The sequence below is a fragment of the Homo sapiens genome, chromosome 8 (assembly GCF_000001405.40).
Source record: "Homo sapiens chromosome 8, GRCh38.p14 Primary Assembly".
In the NCBI taxonomy this organism is placed as follows: Eukaryota; Metazoa; Chordata; class Mammalia; order Primates; family Hominidae; genus Homo; species Homo sapiens.
The window spans coordinates 115,964,805-115,989,697 of record NC_000008.11 but is presented as its reverse complement, the minus strand read 5'-3'; the positions used below and the strand labels follow the sequence as shown (position 1 = coordinate 115,989,697).

Below are 24,893 nucleotides of genomic sequence, written 5' to 3'. Positions count from 1 at the left end.
TGCTACTCAACAAGAAGAAAAAGAAGAGAGAAAGAAGGACATTATTTTTACAGAAGAATACCAGCTTGTGAGTGGAGGGGGAATGACAAAACTGGAAAATGGCCATCTTAATGTAATAATTACCTGAGACAAAGATCATCAATGGATGGTAAAACTACTGAGCACATTGTCGCTAGAGAACAACATTCATATGGTCTTATAGTATCACCCTACAGATTACTTACTAATTACAAAGAAAAAAATCCTCTTTTACAATGAGAAGATCTGGCAGACATTGATTGTCTCAACCAAGTGACTCAAATTAGCATCATCAATAATAGCACAACTGGTAGCATGTGGTTCCTAAGACAATAAAATGGGAAGAACACAACATTATTTATGTTGTATCCATAGAAGAATATTAAACCTAATACCAAGGAAACAAATGGACAAACACAGATAATAGATTGCTTTACCTGACAGTTTGCCAAGATTCCTGAAAATGTTCAGTGTCATGAAAGATAAGAGAAGAAGATATGTCAATTAAATGCAATCCATAATTCTTGAATGGATCCCAAATCAGAGAAAATGTGAGACAAGTTGGGGAAATCTGAATGTGGAATATGTATGTTAAATAATATTATTATGTCTATGTACAGTTAGGGGGGAATATGGTTATATAGAAGAATGTTCTTTGATGATGCATGGGAGAAGTGTTTTGGGGTGAAGTTTATGTTTGTAACTTGTACAAATAATTCAGAAATGTGGGCACATATATAGATTTACCATTTGGTGGTAAATCTAGGTCATAGATATATAGGTACTCACGGGTATTGTTTTTCCTACTTTTCTGCAATTGGAATCAGCTAGAGAGACCTATTTTTTTTTCTTTTTTCTGTCAGAGAAGAAGGTGCAAGAAACCTGTATTTCTGGCAAAAGGAGGCTGGGCGCGGTGGCTCACGCCTGTAATCTCAGCACTTTGAGAGGTGGGCTGATCACGAGGTCAGGAGATCAAGACCATCCTGGCTAACACGGTGAAACTCTGTCTCTACTAAAAAAAAAAAAAAAAAAAAAAAAAAAAAAAAAAAAAAAAAAAAAAAAATTAGCCAGGCGTTGTGGCAAGCGCCTGTAGTTTCAGCTACTCGGGAGGCTGAGGCAGGAGAATGGCGTCAACCCGGGAGGCAGAGCTTTCAGTGAGCCGAGATCGCACCACTGCACTCCAGCCTGGGCGACAGAGTGAGACTCCATCTCAAAAAAAATTTTAAAAAAGCAAGGTCTTTCTACACCTCCCTGGCCTCTTCTATAAGGTGTGTGCAGTGCTTACAACAGCAGTTCACATTCAGAATACTCGTAATAACCTCAGGTGCACACACAAGTGATCAGACTGCCAACATTTCCTGCTAATTTCTCTTCTCCAGAGGTGCTTAGAGAGGTCAGAGAGACAAAGGAATGAATAAAATGTAGGTAGGGAGATAGAATTTTCTCCTACTTATTCTGTGCAGACCAAACAGGGAGAGCTTAATAACTTACCTTCCTCCAATAGTTCATAAGATATGACATAAAAGTTAGAGACTCTCACTTTTGCTCGAACTTTCCATCTCAGAATCTTCAGGGCTTTTACAAACTGAAGGGCAAATTTAATTTGGTTTCAAGTTGTGTACAATACTTTTTTTTTTTCCGAATTGCATAGCACCAGCAAAGGATTAAATAAGGCCGTTGATAGCATCTGTGCGTGTCCTATTAAGCATGCTGAGAAAACAGAGTCAGAGCAAATAACCTGGAGCAGGACTTTAAGGGCAAGCAGGAAGGCTGCAGAATTGTTGAGAATGCTATAATGTGAATTAGAGAAATAAGTCAGCAGGTGTGTGCTTTGGCCCCGAGTAAGTATTTAACCAGGGAGCCAAATAGGAAAGATATTTTCAAAGGCTTTGTTAGAAAAAGGTAGTAAACAGCATAGACTCCTCTTTCATCCCTCACTTCCTGGTTCAGCTCAAGCCGAAATTGAAGAGAAATCTCAGTTTTAACTCTTGTTATCCAAGAAGAAAAGAGAAAAAGCGATTAGAAGTATTAATAGACAAATTCCAAACTGGGAGGCTGGTGCTAAAATTATTATGTTTTTCAAACTGAATCGTGTGTTTTTCACATGATTCGATACTACATAACAAGATTTTAATGTAACCTATAATTTTATTGAGAACATTATCAACTCTCACCCCGAATTCTTCCAGCCTCTATGTTGACCGAGCTGATCTTTATGGTTGCCTCCTTGTCTGATAAACCTTTCATATGGTAAAGATAAGACTTTTAACTAAAAAATTGTTGTGAGTTAGTGATGAGTAGGGAAATGTGGAAAAGAGTGTGTGAAGCCTAGTTTAATAAAGGAGCATGCCATTTCTGTATATTCTTACTTCGATAGTAGGGGAATATTTTCCCCAGCAGCTGCGTGGGAATTTCCAAAAATATTTGTAAAAAGTTGTGTTACTCAGTGAATACAAAAAAGAAAACCACCATCCAAACCTCAAGTCTTCACAGTATTTATAAAGTAAGTTGCCTCTTACACTTCCCCGGGGGTAATCTTTGTAAAGCAGCTCATTTTTATCCTGACTTGAGATTTTGGTGAGATTCATTTATTCAAGGTAGTCTATAATAAATATTAAACACACCACAGAAGAATTTATTACAAGCCCAGAAAATAATTTGTTTTAAACTTTTTGTATTAGAAGGAATATCATCCATGACAAAATATTAGACAGTAAAATAATCTTGATTTCAGTTTTTGGCTTTATTTTTTCAATATAAATCCTAACATTTTATCTGCCTTGTTTCTTTTAGTATCCATTTCTGAATTCAAGCAGTTTTTAATTTTTTAAAAAAGGATATTTAATTCTCCCACATAATATTTCTTATATTTGAATTGTCCTCTTAGGGCTCATATATTGCTATTGGAATGCTGTTTTCCCATTTCCTTTCATGGGACTTATTTCAAAAAAAGTCAGGTTCAAATATTCTAGAAGAATCTAAGAGCAATTTTATTCTTATTTATAAAATGGTTTCAGAGGGGGACGTTTATATAAGACAGAGTGGAGGAAAACACATTTCAGTCACTTCACAGATGTCTGATCATGTGTTTCCGTATTTCCTACTATAGGGAGGAGCCGTCTTCGCTTTGCACATTTTTCCATTCAATATTTCAGCAACACCTTCGGCAGGGAGATCAACTTCCTGAATGAGGCAGAGATGGATTGTTAAACATGGAAATATCCTCCTGTCAGAATAACTTGTCACTCAGGGAGTACATTCTACATCTCTGCTCCTTTGATTGACTTTCATAACAAACAGTCATTACATTGTTAGACTGTTTTGTATCAATATTGATTGCTAGGAAATTGAAGTACACTAAAGTTCATTGACACGAAGCAATCACATGTGGAGTGATGAGAGGAAGCTTTGAGCAGAGGACTCATGTCATGTGTAATTGGTATGGACCACTCCAGGTGTTTTGAACAACTTTTTCATTCAGAGAGAATAGGTTTTATTCATCAACAGGTTGGTTCCAGGCAACAGGGCTGAAGGATCTAGAGAACACATAAGAGACCAATGGCAGCTACTTCCCCAAAGCACAGGTCCAGTGATCAATACAATTAATTCAATTAATATTATGTGGTGCCCACAGGAGAGCTCTGGGGTTCAACAAGTTTAACATTCAGATCAAAAAGTTACAAATTATGCTGGGTGCAGTGGCTCATACCTGTAATCCCAACACTTTGGGAAGCCAGGGTGGGGGGATCACTTGAGCCCAGGAGTTTGAGACTAGCCAGTGCAACATAGCAAGACCACCGTCTCTACAAAAAATTAAAACAAATTAGCTGGGTGTGGTGGCATGTGCCTGTGGTCCCAGCTACTCTGGAGGCTGCGGCGTGAGGATCCCTTAAGCCCAGGAGGTCAAGGCTGTACTGAGCTATGATCTTGCCACTGTACTCCAGCCTGGGCAATAGAGCAAGGCCCCATCTCAAGAAAAAGTTACAGATTCAATTGTTTTACATAGCCACTCAGGTTTTTGTTTTTTGTTTTTTTTTTTTTTAACAAAAAACGTACAGTAAATGTCTGATAATAATGATTAATAATAGTAGTATTTCATGTTTATTGAGTTCTTACTATGTCCTAGGAATATGTAAAATATTTTCATTTATTTACAAGAGTGACTATCTAGAGTAAAGCACAAATTATGGGAGGAAAGCAGACTTTACATTCATTCTTAAATACTTTTAAAAAATTTACTTATATATGCATCCTCATAATTCATCAAAATCTCAAGCCAGAATTGCAAAACAGTTGTCCATTTTATTTAATTAGATCATAGAGTCAGCCTTCTTTTCCCAGTTCATAAGAATTTGAAAGTGTTGCAGAAGCCTACTGCTGTTATTGTGCTCACATTCCAAAAACTGGGAAATGTCTTAAGTGCTAAGTGAATTAAAGTAAATCCTGAATCTTTCAATTATTTGAATATGTTCATGTTGCCAGAAAAAATGGAATATAAATCAATAGAACATAATAATGCAGGATCTCTCCAGATTTGTCCTGCTTATTAGAAGTATAGCATTCTTGAAGGAGGGAAGTAAAAATTTTCAAACCATTGGATCATCATTAGAATGAATTTGTATTAAAAGTTATAATACAGGTAGGCTACTTCAACATGGCTCCTCCAAAAGACAAAATTTAAAAATTGTGTGTTTATGGTTATTTAAATGCCAAGAATGTTCAGTTTTTACTTATATACGATTTTACTTACAACATCTTTTTTTGTTGTTGTTACTGTATTATGAATTGAGAATTCAACTACCCTACAGCGAAAAGTTTTAGCCTTTTCTTCCCTCATCGTTTGGCTTGGATTATTCCTTGGATGATCGTTGCCTGGGTGTGCTATATGAACACTATGCCAATGTTTTTTGAAAGTGTGTATGTTCCTTGGAAGACTAGTTGTTGGAATGTTAACAGGTATTTGACAGAAAAGTAGACTCCTTGTGAATTAAGTTGAAGAAATAGCACTTGAACATAATTAAATGGTTTTGTCTGAATGCTGTATTAGGTTATTATCTTTGTTTACTGCAGGACTTCTCTCAGGAGATATCCAGGTAAATTCTTCTAATTTACTAATTTAATCAAAACCTCCATTTTGATCAGGTAGAAAAGGTCCTTGCCTCAGATGGCTGGAAATGTTTTATAACAAAATGGAAAGCCTTCTCCAAAGTCAATGACACTATAATCTGGAGCAGAGTTAGTGATTTGATCATAGATTATGGCACTATATCTGCATGTCTATTGCCTGCAGCCAAACTGAGCAAAAAAGTTTTGTTCTGATGAGACGGTATGATAACAAACAATAATATCTTCTGTACCATGGTGTATTGAGGGGCGAAGGACATTTTATGAACCTCCAATTCCTAGCCATACTTAAATAGCAGTTTTGGAAATAGATACTTAAATTAAGACATTTAGGGATAGAATGAAAAATACATTGATATGTTTTCCCAACAATCTGACAATTCACAAAATGTTCCAATGGCCACTTCATAATTGATGAATATGAAGAGAATTTTTTGAGGTAAAGTTTGACTCCCACTTCCTTTCTGATAATAGCTATCTCTGTTAATAAATATTGACATTCATTGCTACCAAAATTTGTGTACATTTATTGGACATAATTGGAGACATCCCAGCTATAGTAATGCAATAGAGCAGAATTTTTTCACCTTGTACCTATATGGGAGTTAAGAAACAACAACAAAAGCCAGGTGTGGTGGCTCATATCTGTAATCCCAGCACTTTGGGAGGCTGAGGCGGGCAGATCACCTGAGGTCAGGAGTTCAAGACCAGCCTGTCCAACATGGCGAAACAACATCTCTACTAAAAATACAAAAAATTAGCGGGGTGTGGTGATGGGTGCCTGTAATCCCAGCTACTCGGGAGGCCTAGGTGGGAGAATTGCTTGAATCTGAAAGGCAGAGGCTGCAGTGAGCTGAGATCAAGTCACTGCACTCCAGCCTGGGTGACAAAGCAAGACTCCGTCTCAAAAAAAAAAAAAAAAAAGAAACAACAAGAAGTACTTTTAAAATATACTATGAAAAATGGCTCTATCCCCAAATTGTCTCCAAAGTTGCCTACACTTTAGAGTAACTCTCCTCTGATCAGTTAAGGTGACAGTCAATGACTTTAACATTTAAATCAATGACAGTGAAAGTCAGAACTAAAACCCATGTGATTCCTTTGAATTAAAATGGAAATATTGCAACTTTCTTATAAGAAGAAAAAGTATTTACCTATTTTGAAAGGGCAAAATTGGTATCAACCCATCAACTCAGAGATTTGAGCACAGAATAGGTTTGGTTCAGATGAGAGTAAGTTGAACTAATGTCTAAAAAAGTGAACTCAGGTTGTAGTGACAGACATGGATACCAGACAGTACTAAAACACAAAGATGAAAGAGTGTGGACATGACAAGGCAGAAAGAAGGAAAAATTCAAATTTTGTGTGTAGAACAACCAGTTACCTTGACTAATTATGCAGCCAGTGTTATGATGTAACAAACTCTTACAACTATTTTTTTTTTAGCATTTTCATGTTATTTTATAGATTGATTAACATAGCAGAGTTGCTCAGGTAGAAGGTAATTACAAAATACAGCTCTATTTTTGTAGATATTAGGGATACATCCCAACAAGGATCTCAAAATCCCAAAGAAGATCTAAGATCTCAAAATCCTGCTGCTGGTTTCTGCCTGAAACTTGGGGACAGAGTTTCATTTTTTGGTTAACTTTTCAATGCCTGTTGAAATGCAGATACCACCACTGGAAGGTATTACTCTTGGATTTGGTGGCATGAAACAGAAAACCCAAAATAGCAGTGGCTTAAACCCTTAAGAGTTGATTTTTTTCCCTCATGTATAGTAAATCCAGAAGCAGGCAATCCAATGTTAGGAGGGAAGTCCCACGGCCAGCAAGAGCCCAAGCCCTTTTAGTCTTTTTGCTTTATCATTCTAAGTATGTACATTCTACCTCCAAGTTCCACTCGGAGTCCAGGATAGCTGCTGGAGCTCAAGCTGTCATATATGTATTCTGGCCAGCAGAAAAGATTACAAACTCTTACAACTATTAGTGACATCAGTCAGTTCCCTGTCCGTCTTTTACCTTTCCATTCTTCCCTCATTAAAGGTAAAATCTCAAGCTTCTGTGATTTTACATCAAAACACACAATTTTTTATCCCATACCATCTTTAAACTTTATTATCAGAGATAATGTTGACCCTCTCAATTGCTTGGTGGTATCATTTTTCTATAAATTGTGAAACATAGGGTTCCAGTTGGAACAGGTCAGCCTGGAAGGAGTGAGGATAGTATTACACTATTGGTACATTTCCTTAAAACACAAGGACCCTCAAAAAATATACACATATATAAATGTATATAGTGTGTATATATATATAATTACACATGTATAGATGTGTTTGTATATACATGTCCCTATGTATATATAATTACACATATATGTAATTGTGTGTACACATGTGTAATCATATATACATACATATGTATATACATACACATCTCCACATATATACGTGGTTGTATATATGTGTAGATGTATATACATATATACACACAAGTATATATGTATGTATATATATACACTCATATGAACATATGTGTACATATACCTCCATAAATACATAGATACCTTATAGATATAATTTTATATATGTATATATATAATTTTGAAGTAGAGAGGAAAGACCAGACAGCAGCAGACATCAATCACTCTTAAAAACAAAAATATTGCTGCTTCTGTGAGGAGCATTGGGAAATAAAATCACTCTATGTGATTCACCACAGCAGCTCATTCTTTTTTTTTTTCCATCTCCTATCTTGTTTTTTTTTATTATACTCTAAGTTCTGGTATACATGTGCAGAATGTGCAGGTTTGTTATATAGGTATACACATGTCATGGTGGTTTGCTGCACCCATCAACCCATCATCTACATTATGTATTTCTCCTAATGCTATCCCTCCACTACCCACCCCCACCCCCATCACCCGACAGGCCCTGGTATGTGATGTTCCCCTTCCTGTGTCCATGTGTTCTCATTGTTCAACTCCCACTTATGAGTGAGAACATATGGTGTTTGTTTTTCTGTTCCTGTGTTAGCTTGCTGAGAATGATGGTTTCCGACTTCATCCATGTTGCTGCAAAGGACATGAACTCATCCTTTTTTATGACTGCATAGTATGCCGTGGTATATATGTGCCACCTTTTCTTTATCCAGTCTATCATTGATGGGTATTTGGGTTGGTTCCAAGTCTTTGCTATTGTGAACAGTGCTGCAATAAACATACATGTGCATGTGTCTTTACAGTAGAATGATTTATAATCCTTTGGGTATGTACCCAGTAATGGGATTGCTGGGTCAAATGGTATTTCTGGTTCTAGATCCTTAAGGAATCGCCACACTGTCTTCCACAATGGTTGAACTAATTTACACTCTCACCAACAGTCTAAAAGCGTTCCTATTTCTCCACATCCTCTCCAGCATCTGTTTTTTTCTGACTTTTTAATGATATCCGTTCTAGCTGGCATGAGATGGTATCTCATTGTGGTTTTGATTTGCATTTCTCTAATAACCAGTGATGATGAGCTTTTTTTCATATGTTTGTTGGTCACATAAATGTCTTCTTTTCAGAAGTGTCTGTTCATATCCTTCACCCACTTTTTGATGGGGTTGTTTATTTGTTTCTTGTAAATTTGTTTAAGTTCTTTGTAGATTCTGGATATTAGCCCTTTATCAGATGGCTAGATTGCAAAAATGTTCTCCCATTCTGTAGGTTGCCTGTTCACTCTGATGATAGCTTTTTTTTTTCTGTGCAGAACCTCTTTAGTTTAATTAGATTCCATTTGTCAATTTTGACTTTTGTTGCCATTGCTTTTGGTGTTTTAGTCATAAAGTCTTTGCCCATGCCTATGTCCTGAATGGTATTGCCTAGGTTTTCTTCAAGGCTTTTTATGGTTTTAGGTCTTACATTTAAGTATTTAATCCATCTTGAATTAGTTTTTGTATAAAGTGTAAGGAAGGGATCCAGTTTCAGTTTTCTGCATATGGCTAGCCAGTTTTCCCAACACCATTGATTAAACAGGGAATCCTTTCCCCATTGCTTGTTTTTGTCAGGTTTGTCAAAGATCAGATGGTTGTAGATGTGTGGCGCTATTTCTGAGGCCTCTGTTCTGTGCCCTTGCTCTATATATCTGTTTTGGTACTACTACCATCACAGCAGCTCATTCTTACTTGAATTGTTTTTATAAGATGAAGCTTCCAATTCTGCTAAGTTATCATAATTGTGCATGAGGAATAAAGCAAGACAAGAGCTTAAATCAACAGTTGTTAAACATATTTAGCAAAGGGATCTTTTTTCCAAAGCAAAAATCTTATGACAGAACTCCGGTGTATAAAACAATGTTTTCTATCTTGGATCTTCACATTTATAACAATTAGGTACCACAAAGTCATTTAAAATAATAAGTAAAATTTTAGAAAATGAATGTCACAGATGACAAGCTTCAGCATTTAATGTATCTATACATTTTGTTTCTACACAATTGAGAAAATTCGAATTGTAAGCTGTTGTAAATGGCAAAAGCTTTTAAATAGCTTGCAGTCTAGCAGAAGAAACATTCCTGTGAGGTTTTCACAAAGCTAAGTTTATCTGGCTGCACCAACAATTGGTGTGGCAGTACATATCATCAATATGTTAAAATATATGTTTTATTTTTAATGTATGTCTTAAGACAGTTAAAATATTCTTAATGAAGTTCAAACTAACATTTTTGGAACACTCCAAAATACCTCTTGAGAGTCAATTGTGAGGGTACAGCTGGAAATGCACTGGCCAGGAGGGTCCTAAGAAAGGTTATTCAGAAATGTTTTATTGAGATGGAAGAAACAACAGAAGGGTATGACAGTAACATATTGTAAAATTTCCTTAATTATTTCTCTTTGCAACATTATCAATTTTCTCCTTAAATAATTCAGACACGACCAAACCGTTTCAATTGAGGCTTACAACCAATGGGTACTAAAAAAAAAAAAAAAAAAAAAAAAAAAAAAAAAACCTCTCAAAATTATCAATATCGTGGTGTCTTGCAATACCAGTTGTTTATGGCCAAATAAAAGTGGTGGATTCAGGCGGAGGCGGGTGGATCACAAGGTCAGGAGATCGAGACCATCCTGGCTAACACGGTGAAACCCCGTCTCTACTAAAAATACAAAAAAATTAGCCGGGCGCGGTGGCGGGCGCCTGTAGTCCCAGCTACTAGGGAGGCTGAGGCAGGAGAATGGCGTGAACCCGGGAGGTGGAGTTTGCCGTGAGCCGAGATGGCGCCACTGCACTCCAGCCTGGGCGACAGAGCGAGACTCAGTCTCAAAAAAAAAAAAAAAAAAAAGTGGTGGATTCGCCTAGGAGAAAGTACTATTTATTCTACAGGGATAAAGAGGAGGGAAAAGGAAGCACATTCAAAAAGAGAAGAGGTCAAATATATGATAATATAAGGAAAATAGGGGTGGAGTCTCTGAACTAAATCCTAATATTCCTTTCCTGACTCAATTTAGATCTTACTACCTTTACAAAGCCTACGTCAATCCTCTAAAACTGGATTAGAAGCTCTCAACCTAGTAGTAGAGTGAATGGAGATTAATTGTAGAGTATTAAATTTTTTTCAAATATTCTCTTCTTAGGTCCAAGTGTGCATATTCTAGGGCAATTCCTGCCTCTTTTTTTCTTATATCTGTGTACGCCTGACTCAAGATTATGATATTTGTGAGGAAAGAAATCATGTCCATCGGGTGCACCATTGTATTCCCAGTGCCTAACTCAGTGCTAACTACATAGCTGGTCCCCAGCAAATGTCTGTGGGATGAATGAACAAATGAGTAAATGAAAGTTATTTATTACTACATAGAAAGAAAGAGGAGGCATGAAAAAGACTAGGGTGAGCAACTTTGAATAGAGAAAAATGGAAGATAAAGTATGCAAATCTATATTGGACAAAGCTAACTTTCCTGTGTATCTCAGTTTTTGTTTTTTTCTCCCCTGAAGACAAATGCTGTGACAAGTTCAGATTTCCTCAGCCTAGCAAGGGGTGAGGCTAGATCATTTCTAAGGTGATTCATCATCAGATATAGCTCTCAGTGGAGGAAGTGGTGATGTTGATGATTAAGCAGAAGGCATTTCCCCCCAAGGAGAGATGTTAGGAGAGCCTTGTGTCCTGGAAGTGCTGTTTTTCATTGAGATGCAAAGTTGAGATCTTAATCTCTTGGAACATTGCTGGTTCCCTGGACTGCTCAGTAAGAGACAAGCAATACAAATAATAATATACAGTATCTTACTTTGTACAGCTTTTCGCAGCTCTTAGAGCACTGTTATATCCATCACCTTACGAGACTAGTTGTCACAGTGCACTTATAAGGGAGACAGAATAGGGGATTTGACAACAGAAGCACTAAGGCTCAGAGATGAAATCCAAACTCATGTGGCTAAAAACTGGAACATTTGGGATGGGAACCTGGGACTTTCTATCACAGGTTTTGTGTGACCAGAGTTTTGAGAATTCAGTGCTAAAATAATTGCTTGTGCACAAAATCCCCCAATATACCCTTCTGGATTTGTAAAGAGGAGAAAAATATACAAGCTAACTGTGGGGAGAAAAATTTAGCCAAAGCAAAAACCAATCTTTCAGTTGAAACTACTCATATGCTCCTAAAGATGCATCAGGGGAAATGCATCATTCATTGTCTTAGTTAAGCTAGTGTGGTCCTGAATGGGCAATTGTAGGTTACTTTTTTTTTTTTTAAGTTGCAGTGTTGCATTTTAATGCCTGATGAAGTGTGTGTATTGTGTGCAGCACCTTTACTCCAAAGCACTTAATAAATGCTTTCTCATTCATCCATTCCTTTACCCTTGAGAAAAAGGAAAAAATATTTTTCTTAAATCCCTGCTTGCATAATGATAGATGTGGATTTCCTGAACTCTCACCAGATATTTAAATGTTCTTTTAAAAGCTCAGAAGTAGAAAGACACATCTGTCCACCATCAACTCTTATAATCAAAAAATCTTTCTAAATGACCTAAAATAGAAGTTGTGTGTTTCCAAGTCCCAGGCCTCATCCTCTTCTCTCTGTATCTCTGGCACTCTATTTTACCTCTCAGGGTATGCTGAAAATCTGATCTTTTTTGATATAGGCACATTGAAGAATCAGAAGATGTTTTCCCCCTGTGTTTTTGATGGAAGGAAGAAAGCAGGATTTGCCAGGATGCATTCTGCATCCAAGAACATGAACGGAAATGAGCCACAGAAAATCTGGAGTGATGGCAGCTGTTGTGAGAGGTGGCAATGAAATGGATTTCTCAGACACAGAGATGTGGTCTCCCACCAGGTGAGACATTTCTGACTCCTGCGGATGGACTGAACAATGAAAACTTCTAGTTTGGGGTCCCGCAGGGGCAATCTATGAATCTTAAAAAAGAGAACTTCGACTTCCTATTTCCATTTAGACTGCATGCTAAATAAGAACTTTTTTTGCATATTTTAATGTACTCTTTTTTTGACCCTCAAAGGCATGAAGATACTTTTGAAATCAATGCAAAATAAATTAATCAAACAGAATACTCAACTCATATTAGGTTTTAGTGATTATCAAATCTCTCAATTAATGATTGTAAAGAGTATCACTGTATTCATATGGAAGAATAATAATTTTTTAGATATTATCTCTTTATCAAAAAAGCTTGTGGACTATTGATGAAGAGAAAACCGTGGTCTACCAACTCACATGCCAAGTATGGAACAAATAGGACAGGGGCTCAAATCTCCTTATGAACAGAATTAGATTTCCTCTACACCATCAGTTGAGTTGCTAAAATGCAGGAGTCATGAAGAAAGTCTAGTTTGCACATCATTATCTATTTTTAATGTATATTTCAACTTAGTTTACACTTAAATTATTTTAAAGCTAAGGAAAAATGATTTACATTCTTAAAAGGTAGACTCAGCAGTGATTTACGTACTATTTTTCAAACTGTGCTGGGAGCAGAGAAAAAAATGTAATTAAGTATGATAAAATGAAAAAAAAAAAGAAACACTTGTCCCACCCTCCTCCTGCAATTAAAGCTACTATGTTTTAACTAGATAATCGATGGTAGGATTATACCACATTCCCCTTCTCTATATGGTTTTGACATACAGTTGGCTAAAAGTGGAGCCTCTGAGAAATTTGGAAGATGGGAGTGAAGCAGAAGCCATTACTCTCAGAAGACTGTGTGATCGGACCTGGTGATGAGCAACTAGAGGGGAGTTTTTAGAGGTTCCAACTTGTCATCACTGTCTTGATCTAGCTCATTTTCCTGGCTGATGATTCTGCTGGCACATAGTGCCTTAGCTGATGTCATGAGATAAGACCCCAGAAGGCTGTGGTTATATAGCAAAAACTGCTTCTCCAGAGATTGCAGTTTCCATAATTCTTGCTATTTTTCTCTTCATGCAGGTCCCATTTCAGTGTATGGTTTCTTGGATTTCTCTGCCAGCTTCAAACAGTGCTTCTGATAAAGTGGTTAGTGAGTATTTCTCTGTTCTCTAACGCCTCTGCCTATAGTTTAAGTATGTGTCCCCTAACAAACTCATGTTGAAGTTAAATTTCCATTGTAACTGTACTAAGAGGTAGAACTTTTAAGAGGTGATAGGGCTATGAGAACTCTGCCTCAGAATAAACTACGTAATAAATTAATGCCATTATTGTGGAATAGAGCGGGTTCATTATTGTGGAGTGCAGAGGATTCTCTCTCTCTCCCTTCTTTTTGCACTTCCACCATGGAATGTCACAGCAAGATGGCCTTCAAAGGACGCTGGTCCTCATTCTTAAACTTCCCAGCCTCCAGAGCTGTGAGCCAATAAGTTTCTGTTTATTATAAATTACCCAGATGGACTGAACAATGAAAACTTCTGGTCTGGATTTCCCCATGGGCAATCTGCAAATCTTAAAAAGGGGAACTTTGTTTGTGGTATTGTGTTATCACAGCACAAAACAGAAGGCCATTCATTAAGTTCACCATCTTATATTGGTCTGGTTGCGACACCCCAAAACAATTGCAATAGTAACATCAAAGGCCATTTCTGGCCTTTATAGAGGCTTTGTTTCCTTAACTAAATCCTAATAAAGGCTCTGAAACAAGACAAAAAAACACAAAATGAATAAGATTAACAACCTACAAAAGTGATTTGCTGTGAGACATGATTGTTAATGTGTTGCCCAATGGGACCAAGTTAGTTCATTATCTGCTTTCTATAATGAGTTTACTTCTTAAACTAATAGCAAAAATAACATTGACTACAGGGATACTTCATTTTATTGTGCATATCTTTATTGCACTTTGCAGATGTTGAGTTTTTTCCTAACTGAAGATTTGTAATAACCCTATGTCGAACAAGTCTAATGGCACCATTTTTCCAACAGCACGCGCTCACTTTGTGTCTTTGTGTCACATTTTGGTAATGCTCATAATATTTTAACCTTTTCACCACTAGTGTATCTGTTACGGTGATTTATAATCAGTGACCCTTGATGTTACTATTGCAATTGTTTTGGGATGCCACAACCACACCAATATAAGATGGTGAACTTAATAAATATTGTGTGTGTTCTGACTGCTCCAATGACCAGCCATTCCTCCATCTCTCTCCTTCTTCTCAGGCCCCTCTATTCTCTGGGACAAAAACATACTGACATTAGGCCAAATAACCTCTGAGTGTTCAAGTGAAAGGAAGAGTCACATGTCTCTCACTTTAAATCAAAGGCTAGAAATGATTAAGCTTAATGAGGAGGGCATGTTGAAAGCTAAGACAGGCTGAATGCTAGGCCTCTTGCACTAACCGTTAGCCAGGTTGTGAATGCAAAAAGAAACTTCTCATGGAAAATTAAATGTACTACTCCAGTGAACCCACAAATGATAAGAAAGTGAAACAGCCTTATTGTTGATATGGAGAAAGTTTTAGTGGTCTGGATAGAATATCAAACTGGCTACATTCCCTTAAGCCAAAACCTAATCCAGAACCAGGCCATAACTCTTCAATTCTGCGAAGGCTGAGAGAGGTGAGGAAACTGCAGGAGAAAAGTTTTAAGCTAGTAGAGGTTGGTTAATTAAGAAAGGGAGCCATCTCCATAACATAATTATGCAAGGTGAAGCAGCAAATTCTGATGGAGAAGCTGCAGCAAGTTATCTAGAAGATCTAGCTAAGGTCATTGATGAGGGTGGCTACACTAAACAATAGAGTTTGAATGCAGATGAAACAGCCTCATAGAGGAAGAAGATGCCATCTAGGATTTTCCAACCTAGGCAGAAGAAGTTAATGCTTGGCTTCAAAGCTTCAAAGGACAGGCTGATGCTTTTGTTAGGGGCTAATGCACCTGGCGAATTTAAGTGGAAGCCAGTGTTCATTTACCATTCTGAAACTCTTAGGTCTCTTAAAAATTATGTTAAGTCTACTCTGCCTGTGCTCTATAAACAAAACCAAAAGCCTGGATGACAGCACATCTGTTTACACCATATTTCACTGAATATTTTAAGCCTACTGTTGAGACCTACTGCCAGAAAAAAAAAATCCCTTTCAAAGTATTACCATTGCTCCTTGACAATGCATCTAGTCACCCAAGAGCTCGGATGGAGCTGTACAAGGTGACTAATGTTGTGTTCATGCCTGCTAACACAACATCCATTCTACATGAATCAAGGAGTAATTTTGACTCTCAAGCCTTATTATTTAAGATAAACATTTTGTAAGGCTATAGCTGTGATTCCTCTATTGGATCTGAGCAAAGTAAATCAAAAACCTTTTGGAAAGGATTCACCATTCTAGATGACATTGTGAATATTTGTGATTCATGGGAAGAGGTCAAAAATAGAAATATTATTAGGAGTTTTGAAGAAGTTGATTCCAGCTCTCATGGATGACTTTGAGGGGTTTAAGACTTTAGTGAAACAACTGCAGATGTGGCAGAAATAGCAAAAGAACTAGAATTAGAAGTGGAGCTTTTTCAAGATGTGGCTAAATTGCTGTAATCTCATGATCAAACTTGGATGAATGGGGAGTCTTCTTATGGAGGAGCAAAGAAAGTGGTTTCTTGGTTTCTTGAGATGGAATCTACTCCTGGTGAAGATGCTATCAATATTGTTGAAAGGATTTGGACTATTATATCAACTTGATTGATAAAGCAGTGGCAGGGGTTGAGGGGACCGATTCCAATTTTGAAAGAAGTTCTACTGTGGGTAAAATGCTATCAAACAGCATCATAGGTTACATAGATCCCTTTCACGAAAGGAAAAATCCATGTGGCAAATTCCATTGTTGTTTTAAGAAATTTTGACAACACTCCAATTTTCAGTAACGACAACCTTGATTAGTCATCAGCTATCAACATCAGAGGCAAGACCCTCTATCAAGCAAAACATTTATCACTCAGTGAAGGCCTATATGATTATCAGCACTTTTCAGCAATATTTTTAATTAAGGTATATACAGTGTTTTTCAAACATAATGCTATTATTACACACTTAGTAGACTACAGTGTAGTGTAAATATAACTTTTATATGACCTGGGAAACCAAAATATTCATGTAATTTGCTTTAATGGGATATTCACTTTATTGTGGTGGCCTGGAACCAACCCCACAATATCTCCAAGGTGTGCCTATATTTAGTGAATATTTATTATAATTCAGGCATTGTACATCAATTCTTTCTAATTATTTTGATGCCCCCTCAGTGGAAACATCATCAATTTACAGATGATAAACCTGAGGCTATAAGTTATTAAGGAACTGGCTTAGGAGTGAAACAGCTAGAAAGTGCTGGAGTCAGGTCTACCTGAATCCATTTTTTCTTCCAGTTATTCTACAGCACTGGCATTGTAATGATTCACATGTAGTACCAACAACTCAGTGTAGTGGCACAGGCTAAAGATGATGGCAAGAAAAGAACCTGGGTTCCATTTGATTGTGGGAAGCCTGGGATTGCATCTCTCCTTTAACTGTTCTATTTAATTCCTTCCAGTTATCTGTACTATTATGTTCTTATTGTTCAACATTTAGTATTTTTAGTTACTTCCAATCAGAGGCATATGAATGAATACGTCATAAAGAGACATTAAATCTGGAAAATATTGTGATTAATAACGATTCTCAACAGAGAAAAATAATCGGACTTTTTCTTTTCTTGCATTACAAATTTCTTAAGCCCAGCCAATTCCCTTTGATTTGATGGTGTCCAAGCAAATTTCACTTTGAGAATTTATTTTCTCAGGTACTTTGATAATGGGAGTCAATTGTCCTTTATACCAGTTTTATATAATCACTAATTCACAGGAATAATCCAAATTACTTGAAATAAACCTTGATTCACAAATCCATAAGTGACTTGAGATAACTACTTTTTCTTTCTTATGAAACATACAGCTATGAGTTGTCCATTTGGGGTGGGAGAAAGTAGAAAAGAATATAGACAAAATTCTTATACAAACCAAACATCCATCAAAGGAAATAGGAAATTACTATATTATACTTCTAGGCTATCACTAAATTTTCAAAATGAAACTAATTTAGCTCTTTTTTAATCTCTAAAAATAATGGAGTAGAGGTGAACAAAAAGAAAAAGAGCTAAGTTCAAGTCAGAATGGTCACAAATCAGTAACAGGTTAAAGGCATGTTCATTGCTGATGGCAACATACAGCCTTAGATGATGTGTGCAAGACAGACACATTCTGATTCGTAATCACATTCCAAATTCAACCTCCAAAGATGAATTGTTAAGACATCCTTTCACTCCCATCTCCTCCTGAAACATGCTAATCTTCAAAGCTGGGGTCAACTTAAAAGACAAAAGAAATTAGGATGATTTGCTCTTTGTTTTTAATTTAGTTTTTAAAAAACATGCCATTAGGATTATTTGACTATACTTATAAACTTATTTGTAACATTTAAGCAGAGAATACACTGAAGAACTTTTCAGTTCCAGAAATGGGCAAAAAGGCCGGGCACGGCGACTCACGCCTGTAATCCCAGCACTTTGGGAGGCCGAGGCAGGCGGATCACGAGGTCAGGAGTTCGAGACCAGCCTGGCCAACATGGTGAAACCCAGTCTCTACTAAAAATCCAAAAATTAGCCGGGCGTGGTGACGCGCACTTGTAATCCCAGTTACTCAGGAGGCTGAGGCAGGAGAACTGGTTGAACCCGGGAGGCGGTGGTTGCAGTGAGCCGAGATCGTGCCACTGCACTCCAGCCTAGGAGACAGAGCAAGACTCCGTCAAAAAAAAAAAAAAAAAAAAAAAAAAATGAAATGGGCAAAAAAAAAAGGGGGAAAATAAAAAGTAAAAATTAATGCATTTCTGTTGATTACATTAGGCCTCCTTTTTAAAAAACATATTTTTGATGAACTTCTCAGTAATGAAATTTTAAACAGCAAAGTCAAAGCTGCAGAGTCAAAGAGTTTTTCAAACGTGGTTCCTAGTTCCTGTTATGATGTCCTCAGTGACTTCAGTGATGGAGTCATGCATGAAGAAAGGTTACTAAGCTACAAATGCCTATGTGGGATTTGCATGCAATGTTCACATGCCTTATTCTGTTTTGTATATATCTCCATTTTTAATTCAAATTTTGTAAACAAAATTATTATCACCTCTTCTCAATGGCTCACATATGCACATGAATCCTTATTGCCCTCTCCATGTAAGCACAACACATATGACAACTTAGTGGTATAAAAGAAAAATCAGAAGGATGAAAAAGAGAGATCTCCTTGACAGTGTCTATAGAACACCCTTTTTTTTTTTTTTTTTTTTTTGAGCCTGTCGCCCCGGCTGGAGTGTAGTGGTGAGATCTTGGCTCACTGAAACTTCTGCCTCCCTGATTCAAGTGATCCTCTCACTTCAGCCTCCTGAGTAGCTGGGATTACAGGCATATACCACCATGCTTGGCTAATTTTTGTATTTTAGTAGAGACAGTGTGTCACCACGTTGGCCAGACAGGTCTCGAACTCCTGACCTCAAGTGATCCACCTGCCTCAGCCTCCCAAAGTGCTGGGATTACAGGTGTGAGCCAACTCTCCTGGCTCAGAACATGCTTTTTAAAATAAATCTTCATTGTCAATAGTACTGAAGTACTAGTTGAAAATGAGTACTGCAAATCTAGTCTGGCTCTAGATGAAACTTGAGAAGAATGCAAGCTGGCCGCTGGATCCCTTCCTGAGGCTGCAGTGACTGCCTTTTTTTTCTTCTGGAAGCCCTTCCTCTTTGTACGCCCAGCTCTTCTTGCTTTCAGCCTGCTTACCTCTCAGCATTAATGAGAATTATCTGATTGTGATCTGAAGAACCTATTCCTCCCAGAGTTATTTACATCAGACTAAGGGACCCTGAAAAATGAAAACAGATTGATACCTCAAAATGGGATTTCCCAAGATGAGTATGGGTTTAAGTATTATCATGAGTAGTTGAAAAGATATTTTCAATAATAATTTTGAAGACTTTATCCTTTATTAATCACATCTACTGGTCATTGTGTAAAAACAGAACCATGAAATAACAGGATCTATTAACCTGGAAAAGCAGTTATCACTGATGTCTTATATCCCTGGCCATACTGATTTGTAAAAATGTGCAAGTCCCACAGAGCAGGTGTGTTTGTCTATTTTACTTTCTGATGTCACTCAAGGGCCTAGGACAGTTCTTGGAACACAACAAGAGCTTAGTAAATGCTTGATAAATGAATAGATGATTTTATTTATTGATTGTCCATAAAGCCACAGACCAAGGAAAAGAAGCCTTTGAACTTCAAAACATTCCCTCTCTCTCTTTAAGATTTATGAAGTAATGGGAAATGTATGTTGACTCATGGAGTAACAATGAGGAAATAGGCATTGGCACCAGGACTCTGTTGACATCAGGACTTCAGGTAAATGAATAGGACCATAGATGCTTGATCTCTTACCCCATTTTTGCATTCTATCATGAGCCCTGCAGCCAAGATCCATACCTCTTCCCACATTAACCCTAAGTATGTTAACGATATTGGAAAGTTTAAGTACTGACTGGTTAACATGTTCCAGGGAATTTAGGTGGGTTGAACTGTATGATAAAGTCATAACCCTTTAATCTGTCTGAACATTTAGACAATCTGTTGGTAAGGTGTAAACTATGGACCTGCCATGAATGTCATAAATAAAGGCTGGACCATTTTCACATGTGACACTATATACTACACTTGTCTTCAAATGATGGACACACAATTACAGCAATGCATTTTACAGTGCATTCACCATTAAAGAAACCACAGACACCAACACACTGTAATGAGTACTTATGTTTAGGAAAATAAATACAGATATGTTTTATTTTTCAGAAGAAAGGAGAAGAAAGGAAGGAAGGAAAGAAGGGGGAAGGAAATAGCAAGGGGAAAATGAATGGAATAAAGACATGCTTATATAATTGTTTTCAAGGTCTAAAAGAATTTGCTCTAGAAGGATTATTATAATATGAAGCTTATGTTTTTCCTACATTTCATATATCAGGAGCAGGCACTATTTCTAGGCCAAGGTGTCTTCATCTTTTAAACTCCCATTGTCTGCATTTTTCTACAACTCTTGACTGTGAGTGTATGTGTGTGCATTTTCCCTGAGTATTGGATGAAGTGCTCATTTATTTGCTCTGGTATATTGTCCTAAACCTTCATCCAATAAACCTGCCAAATATATGGTCCAGAGTCCTGTGGCTCCCTAACAAAGGATAAAATGACTTTAGCCATACTGGACCTGGCAGCTGGTCAAAATCAGTGACTCACAAATACAAATCAGTTGCTATAAGACAGATGCAGACAGTTGTGAAGTCAGGCTCTTCAAGGAGACTGCTGAGGCCAGGTAGGTATTAGTAGTCAATGATAAATCAAGCTCAGTGTTTAGAAATGACCACAGTTCCCTAAGCATACTACTTATCACCCTCATGGACTCCCTTCCTATTAAGGTTAATAAATATGCAAGAGACCAACAGTAATCTGAAGGAATTACTTTTATCCAAAGGACAAATATGCTTTATAATGAGTGCCCAATGGAATGGCTGCAATCATTCTAGTACCTTTGCATGCACTGGGCACTGCATGTATAAATAAGTCATTATTAGCATAAAATATATTAGGAAACCAAAGTAGGCATGTGGAAGGAAAAGCAGAAGCTGTTGGCAAAAAGAGTTATAACTGCATTTTTTTTAAAAATTCAGTTATAAGGGATCCAATTATTGAATCAACAAATATTTATTCATTCAACAAATGTTTGAGCTCCTACTATATACCAAGGATTGAGGTTATTTCTGAAGAAAATGGTGAACATGACACTTCCTAATCTTAATGAACATATAGTCTAGGGCACATTCATGATGAAAAGGCATTTGGTTTATTTACTTGTAGGGTTTTGAGGGTAGTTGTACTTATTTATATATTTTTAATGTGAAGGATCAGGTTGCCTTAAAATGAAGGAAATATCGGAGGATGTCTTAAAGATAATTTTTCACTGATGGCAGAACCATGGCCCTGAGGACAGATTGCCATCAGTAACAGCTGTGAGGCTTGGGTAGATCATGAAGGCTTTTTCATTAGAATATTCAATTCTTTTTAAAAGCTGTTGTATTTCACAAGATGCATTTCATGATCTTGAAATTCACCTCTACTCATTTGGGACAGCCTATCCCAGACTCTTGGGAATATATTATTCTGACATATGATCTCATGTAGATTATAGATACTTTGTTAATGCCTTCTGTGGAGACTAACTGGCTGTTAATAGTCTCTAAAAAGACACCCACCCATTTTCTTTAGGACATGGTTCTATATAACTATTTACAACTTAGCCTAAAGGATTTCAATTTTATCACCCAAAGTCTAGTATTGCCCCAAAGACCAGGAGATGTTCTTAATCTTTGTGTGCACCAACTTGAATATTCTCAGAAATGATCCCCTCAAAACTCCTCTGTTCCCACAGAGAAGTTCCTCCTTTCACCCCATAGAACAACACTGAACAAATACATTCTGTTAATTTTAGAATAGCCCTATTGTCTCTTCATCCAGTCATCAAGGCTTCATAACTATTGAAATCCACTCTCAGAGGGCCATGATTCATAATCGAGACAATTTAAAAATATCAATACAATTTTCATTGTTTTCCTTTTTACCAGATAGAAATATAAATACCAGATCATCGGTTTCAAAAAATGGGTGGGTGACAACTCTAGTGCTCTATCGTGGAATAACAAATAAGTTTCAGCTTATGTGACACCTCACTTCAACAGTACTGGCTACTTTGAGTGCTGTGCTGAGAAGGCTGCTAAGTGCAGGTAAAAGTATATTATTCCTCATGAGAAGAGTTTGTTGTGGGTCCTGACAGTAAGAAGTAGCTGCAGTCCTGTCAATATTTACTGATCCAGAGCCCAGCTCTGACATTTACTGGCTGTGCGAACTTAGGTAATTCACCTAACTTCTCAAAATATACTTCCTCATCTCTATGAGAGGGCAAACTAAATCAGTGTTTTCCAAATTATGGCCCCATAGATGGCAGGCAGCAGATTTAGAAATGGGCCAGGTTTGTAAAAAGATTCCAGTGGCTTGTCCTGAATTTCTTAATCAGAATCTCTTTACAGCCTGAAAATCTTAATTTTTAAATAAAGACATTTGCAAGTCATTGATGCTCAACCCGGTTTGACAACCACTGGATTAATTGAGCTATGAAGTCTTCTTCAGTTATAGCATTATTTTCCATTTAGATTCTAGAAAATATAGCCAAAGCATAACTGAGTTGAGTAAGTGCCCATCTGAAAGCTCTCTAGTGGAGAGATTCCTATGGAATTCCAAAGGACCAGGCAACAGTTACAAATCAACACTAAGACTCAGGAGATTTCCCTAACCTGGACTTTGCAATTGCAGGAAAGTGGTTTCCAGCACAGCCTTCCAGTACTTCCTGCCTGCTACACATTGCCTCTTCTGTGGGTCTCTTCAGCTCACAGAAGCAGAATATGCCTCTGATTTGTTGATGATCATTAAACCCATATCATCTTTTATTTTTGAAGTTTAAGGGTGAAAAAAGAGCTGAAAACTATTATCCTTTGAATCCCTTTTACCTAGAAGAAATAACATAAGAAAGGGACATCTGGCCAGGGTATTAACTCCTTTTAAAGAATTAGCAATGAGGAGAAAAATAAAAATAAAAAAATTTAGTAAGACTTAGTAGGTGAGACTAATGAGGGTATAAAAAATGCTGAATGGAGCAGTTCTATCCCATTTCATAATGGCAGTAAGGATTCTGACAGAATATCCATTAGCAATTCCTTTCTAAGATAACTTAATTTCCTGATTAAACATGCATTTCTAAATCATATTGACATTTTAAGAGAGAAACAAATAATTGTGCCAATTCTCTTGGGCACAGGGGAAAGAAAACCTCCTTTTTCTTTCCGACCACAGTTGCACAGCCTCTTTCATTTCTTTCTATCTTAATGCCCAGAAAGAACCACATAGTTCAAAAACTGCCTGAATCTAAACATTGCAGTTTGACCAGCTTGGAGAGGAAACCAATTTTAGATAGCAAAAGAATTTCTGTGTTGGCTAGCTCAGCTCACATCTGCATGAGTTTGAATACATGTGTTTTCCCTGAGTATGTGTATATTTGTATGCTTGGATGCATGGGCAGAACATGGTTTTCTTGGACTAAACTAGGGTTGGTAAACTATGCCTTAAATATGGCCTGCCATTTGTTTTTGTAAATAAAGTTTTATTGGAACACAGGCACATTTCTTCATTTGCATAGTATCTATGGCTGCGTTCACAGAGTTGAATAGTTGTGACAGAAGCTATATGGCCTGCAAAGTCAAAATATTTACTATTTGGCCCTTTACAAAAGCAATTTGCCAACAATTGAGCTACAGATTTTGTAATCTAGTCAGTACCCTATGCAAAAAAGAGGAGCTCATTGAGCACAGCTGCATGTGGACCAATGAGTTGTTCTATAAGCAAGGCTGGCGAGCAAAAGACTTCCACAGAGGTTGTATGCAGAAGTCTTGTGCACAGGTGAGTTCCTTGAAAACCCTGGCTTCACTAAGAACGTTGAAGATCTGAAAAGCTTCCTTCTCTGCTCAGAAAAGCAAGGAAAGACCAGTTCCTCTACTTTTTTAAAAAAGAAGCTTTATATATTTATAGCTTCAGTTGGCATTCTGTTCTCTTCCTCCTCAGTAAATTTGCTTTATGGGAAGGGACCATATAGTAAAATCTTGAGAGATTAGCAGCCATTAGCAGGTTGGGACTTTGCTTTTCACTTCCCAAATCATCTCCTTTTACACATGATACCATAAGAAAGCATCTGGGATATTCTCAATGAGAAAATTAAGAAAATTCATTTCAGAAGAAGGTTTTAAATCAAAAGCATATTTCTTTTCTTTTAAAAATTGATTTATATTCCAATTTTTCCTATTTGCCTCAATTAGAATTATATTTTTCATTTATTAAAACATGGCATTTAAAATCAGGACTTATGTAGAATGAAGTTGCTGTTATGATTGAAACAGAAACAAAAAACAAAAAATAAAAGGCACTTGCTGTACTAAAGGATGGAACTGTGTTTTAAAGTCCGGCCATGTGGCTTCTTATGGAAATATAATGAGTTAAAGATGAAATTCCGTTTTTAGTTTGCATACATCTTGCAAAGATTCTACTCAGTAAAATGGTAATTGGAGTCTTTTTTACAATAAATATTATACTTTTTAATCCTAATATTGTAAGCTATAAAATGTCTTCCATT

At 36.9% G+C, this 24,893-nt stretch overlaps 1 long non-coding RNA gene across 1 annotated transcript in view, besides 1 other annotated feature; it reads left to right on the top strand.

Annotated features, from left to right (window-relative positions):
- Positions 1-24,893, top strand: part of LINC00536 (long intergenic non-protein coding RNA 536) — a 374,549-nt gene that overhangs the window by 335,362 nt on the left and 14,294 nt on the right. Inside the window, exons 8-10 of the long non-coding RNA NR_046215.1 lie at positions 12,262-12,455; positions 13,563-13,628; positions 19,921-20,014. This is a non-coding gene — a long non-coding RNA (long intergenic non-protein coding RNA 536). The remainder of the gene's footprint in view (positions 1-12,261; positions 12,456-13,562; positions 13,629-19,920; positions 20,015-24,893) is intronic.
- Positions 19,164-20,363: an enhancer, noted in NCBI's record as "P300/CBP strongly-dependent group 1 enhancer chr8:116981560-116982759 (GRCh37/hg19 assembly coordinates)". NCBI's record gives its function as "activates an origin of replication core promoter dependent on BRD2, BRD4, P300/CBP, MED14 and CDK7 cofactors, with strong dependence on P300/CBP, by STARR-seq in HCT116 cells {active_cell/tissue: HCT116}" and the evidence as "EXISTENCE:reporter gene assay evidence [ECO:0000049][PMID:35650434]".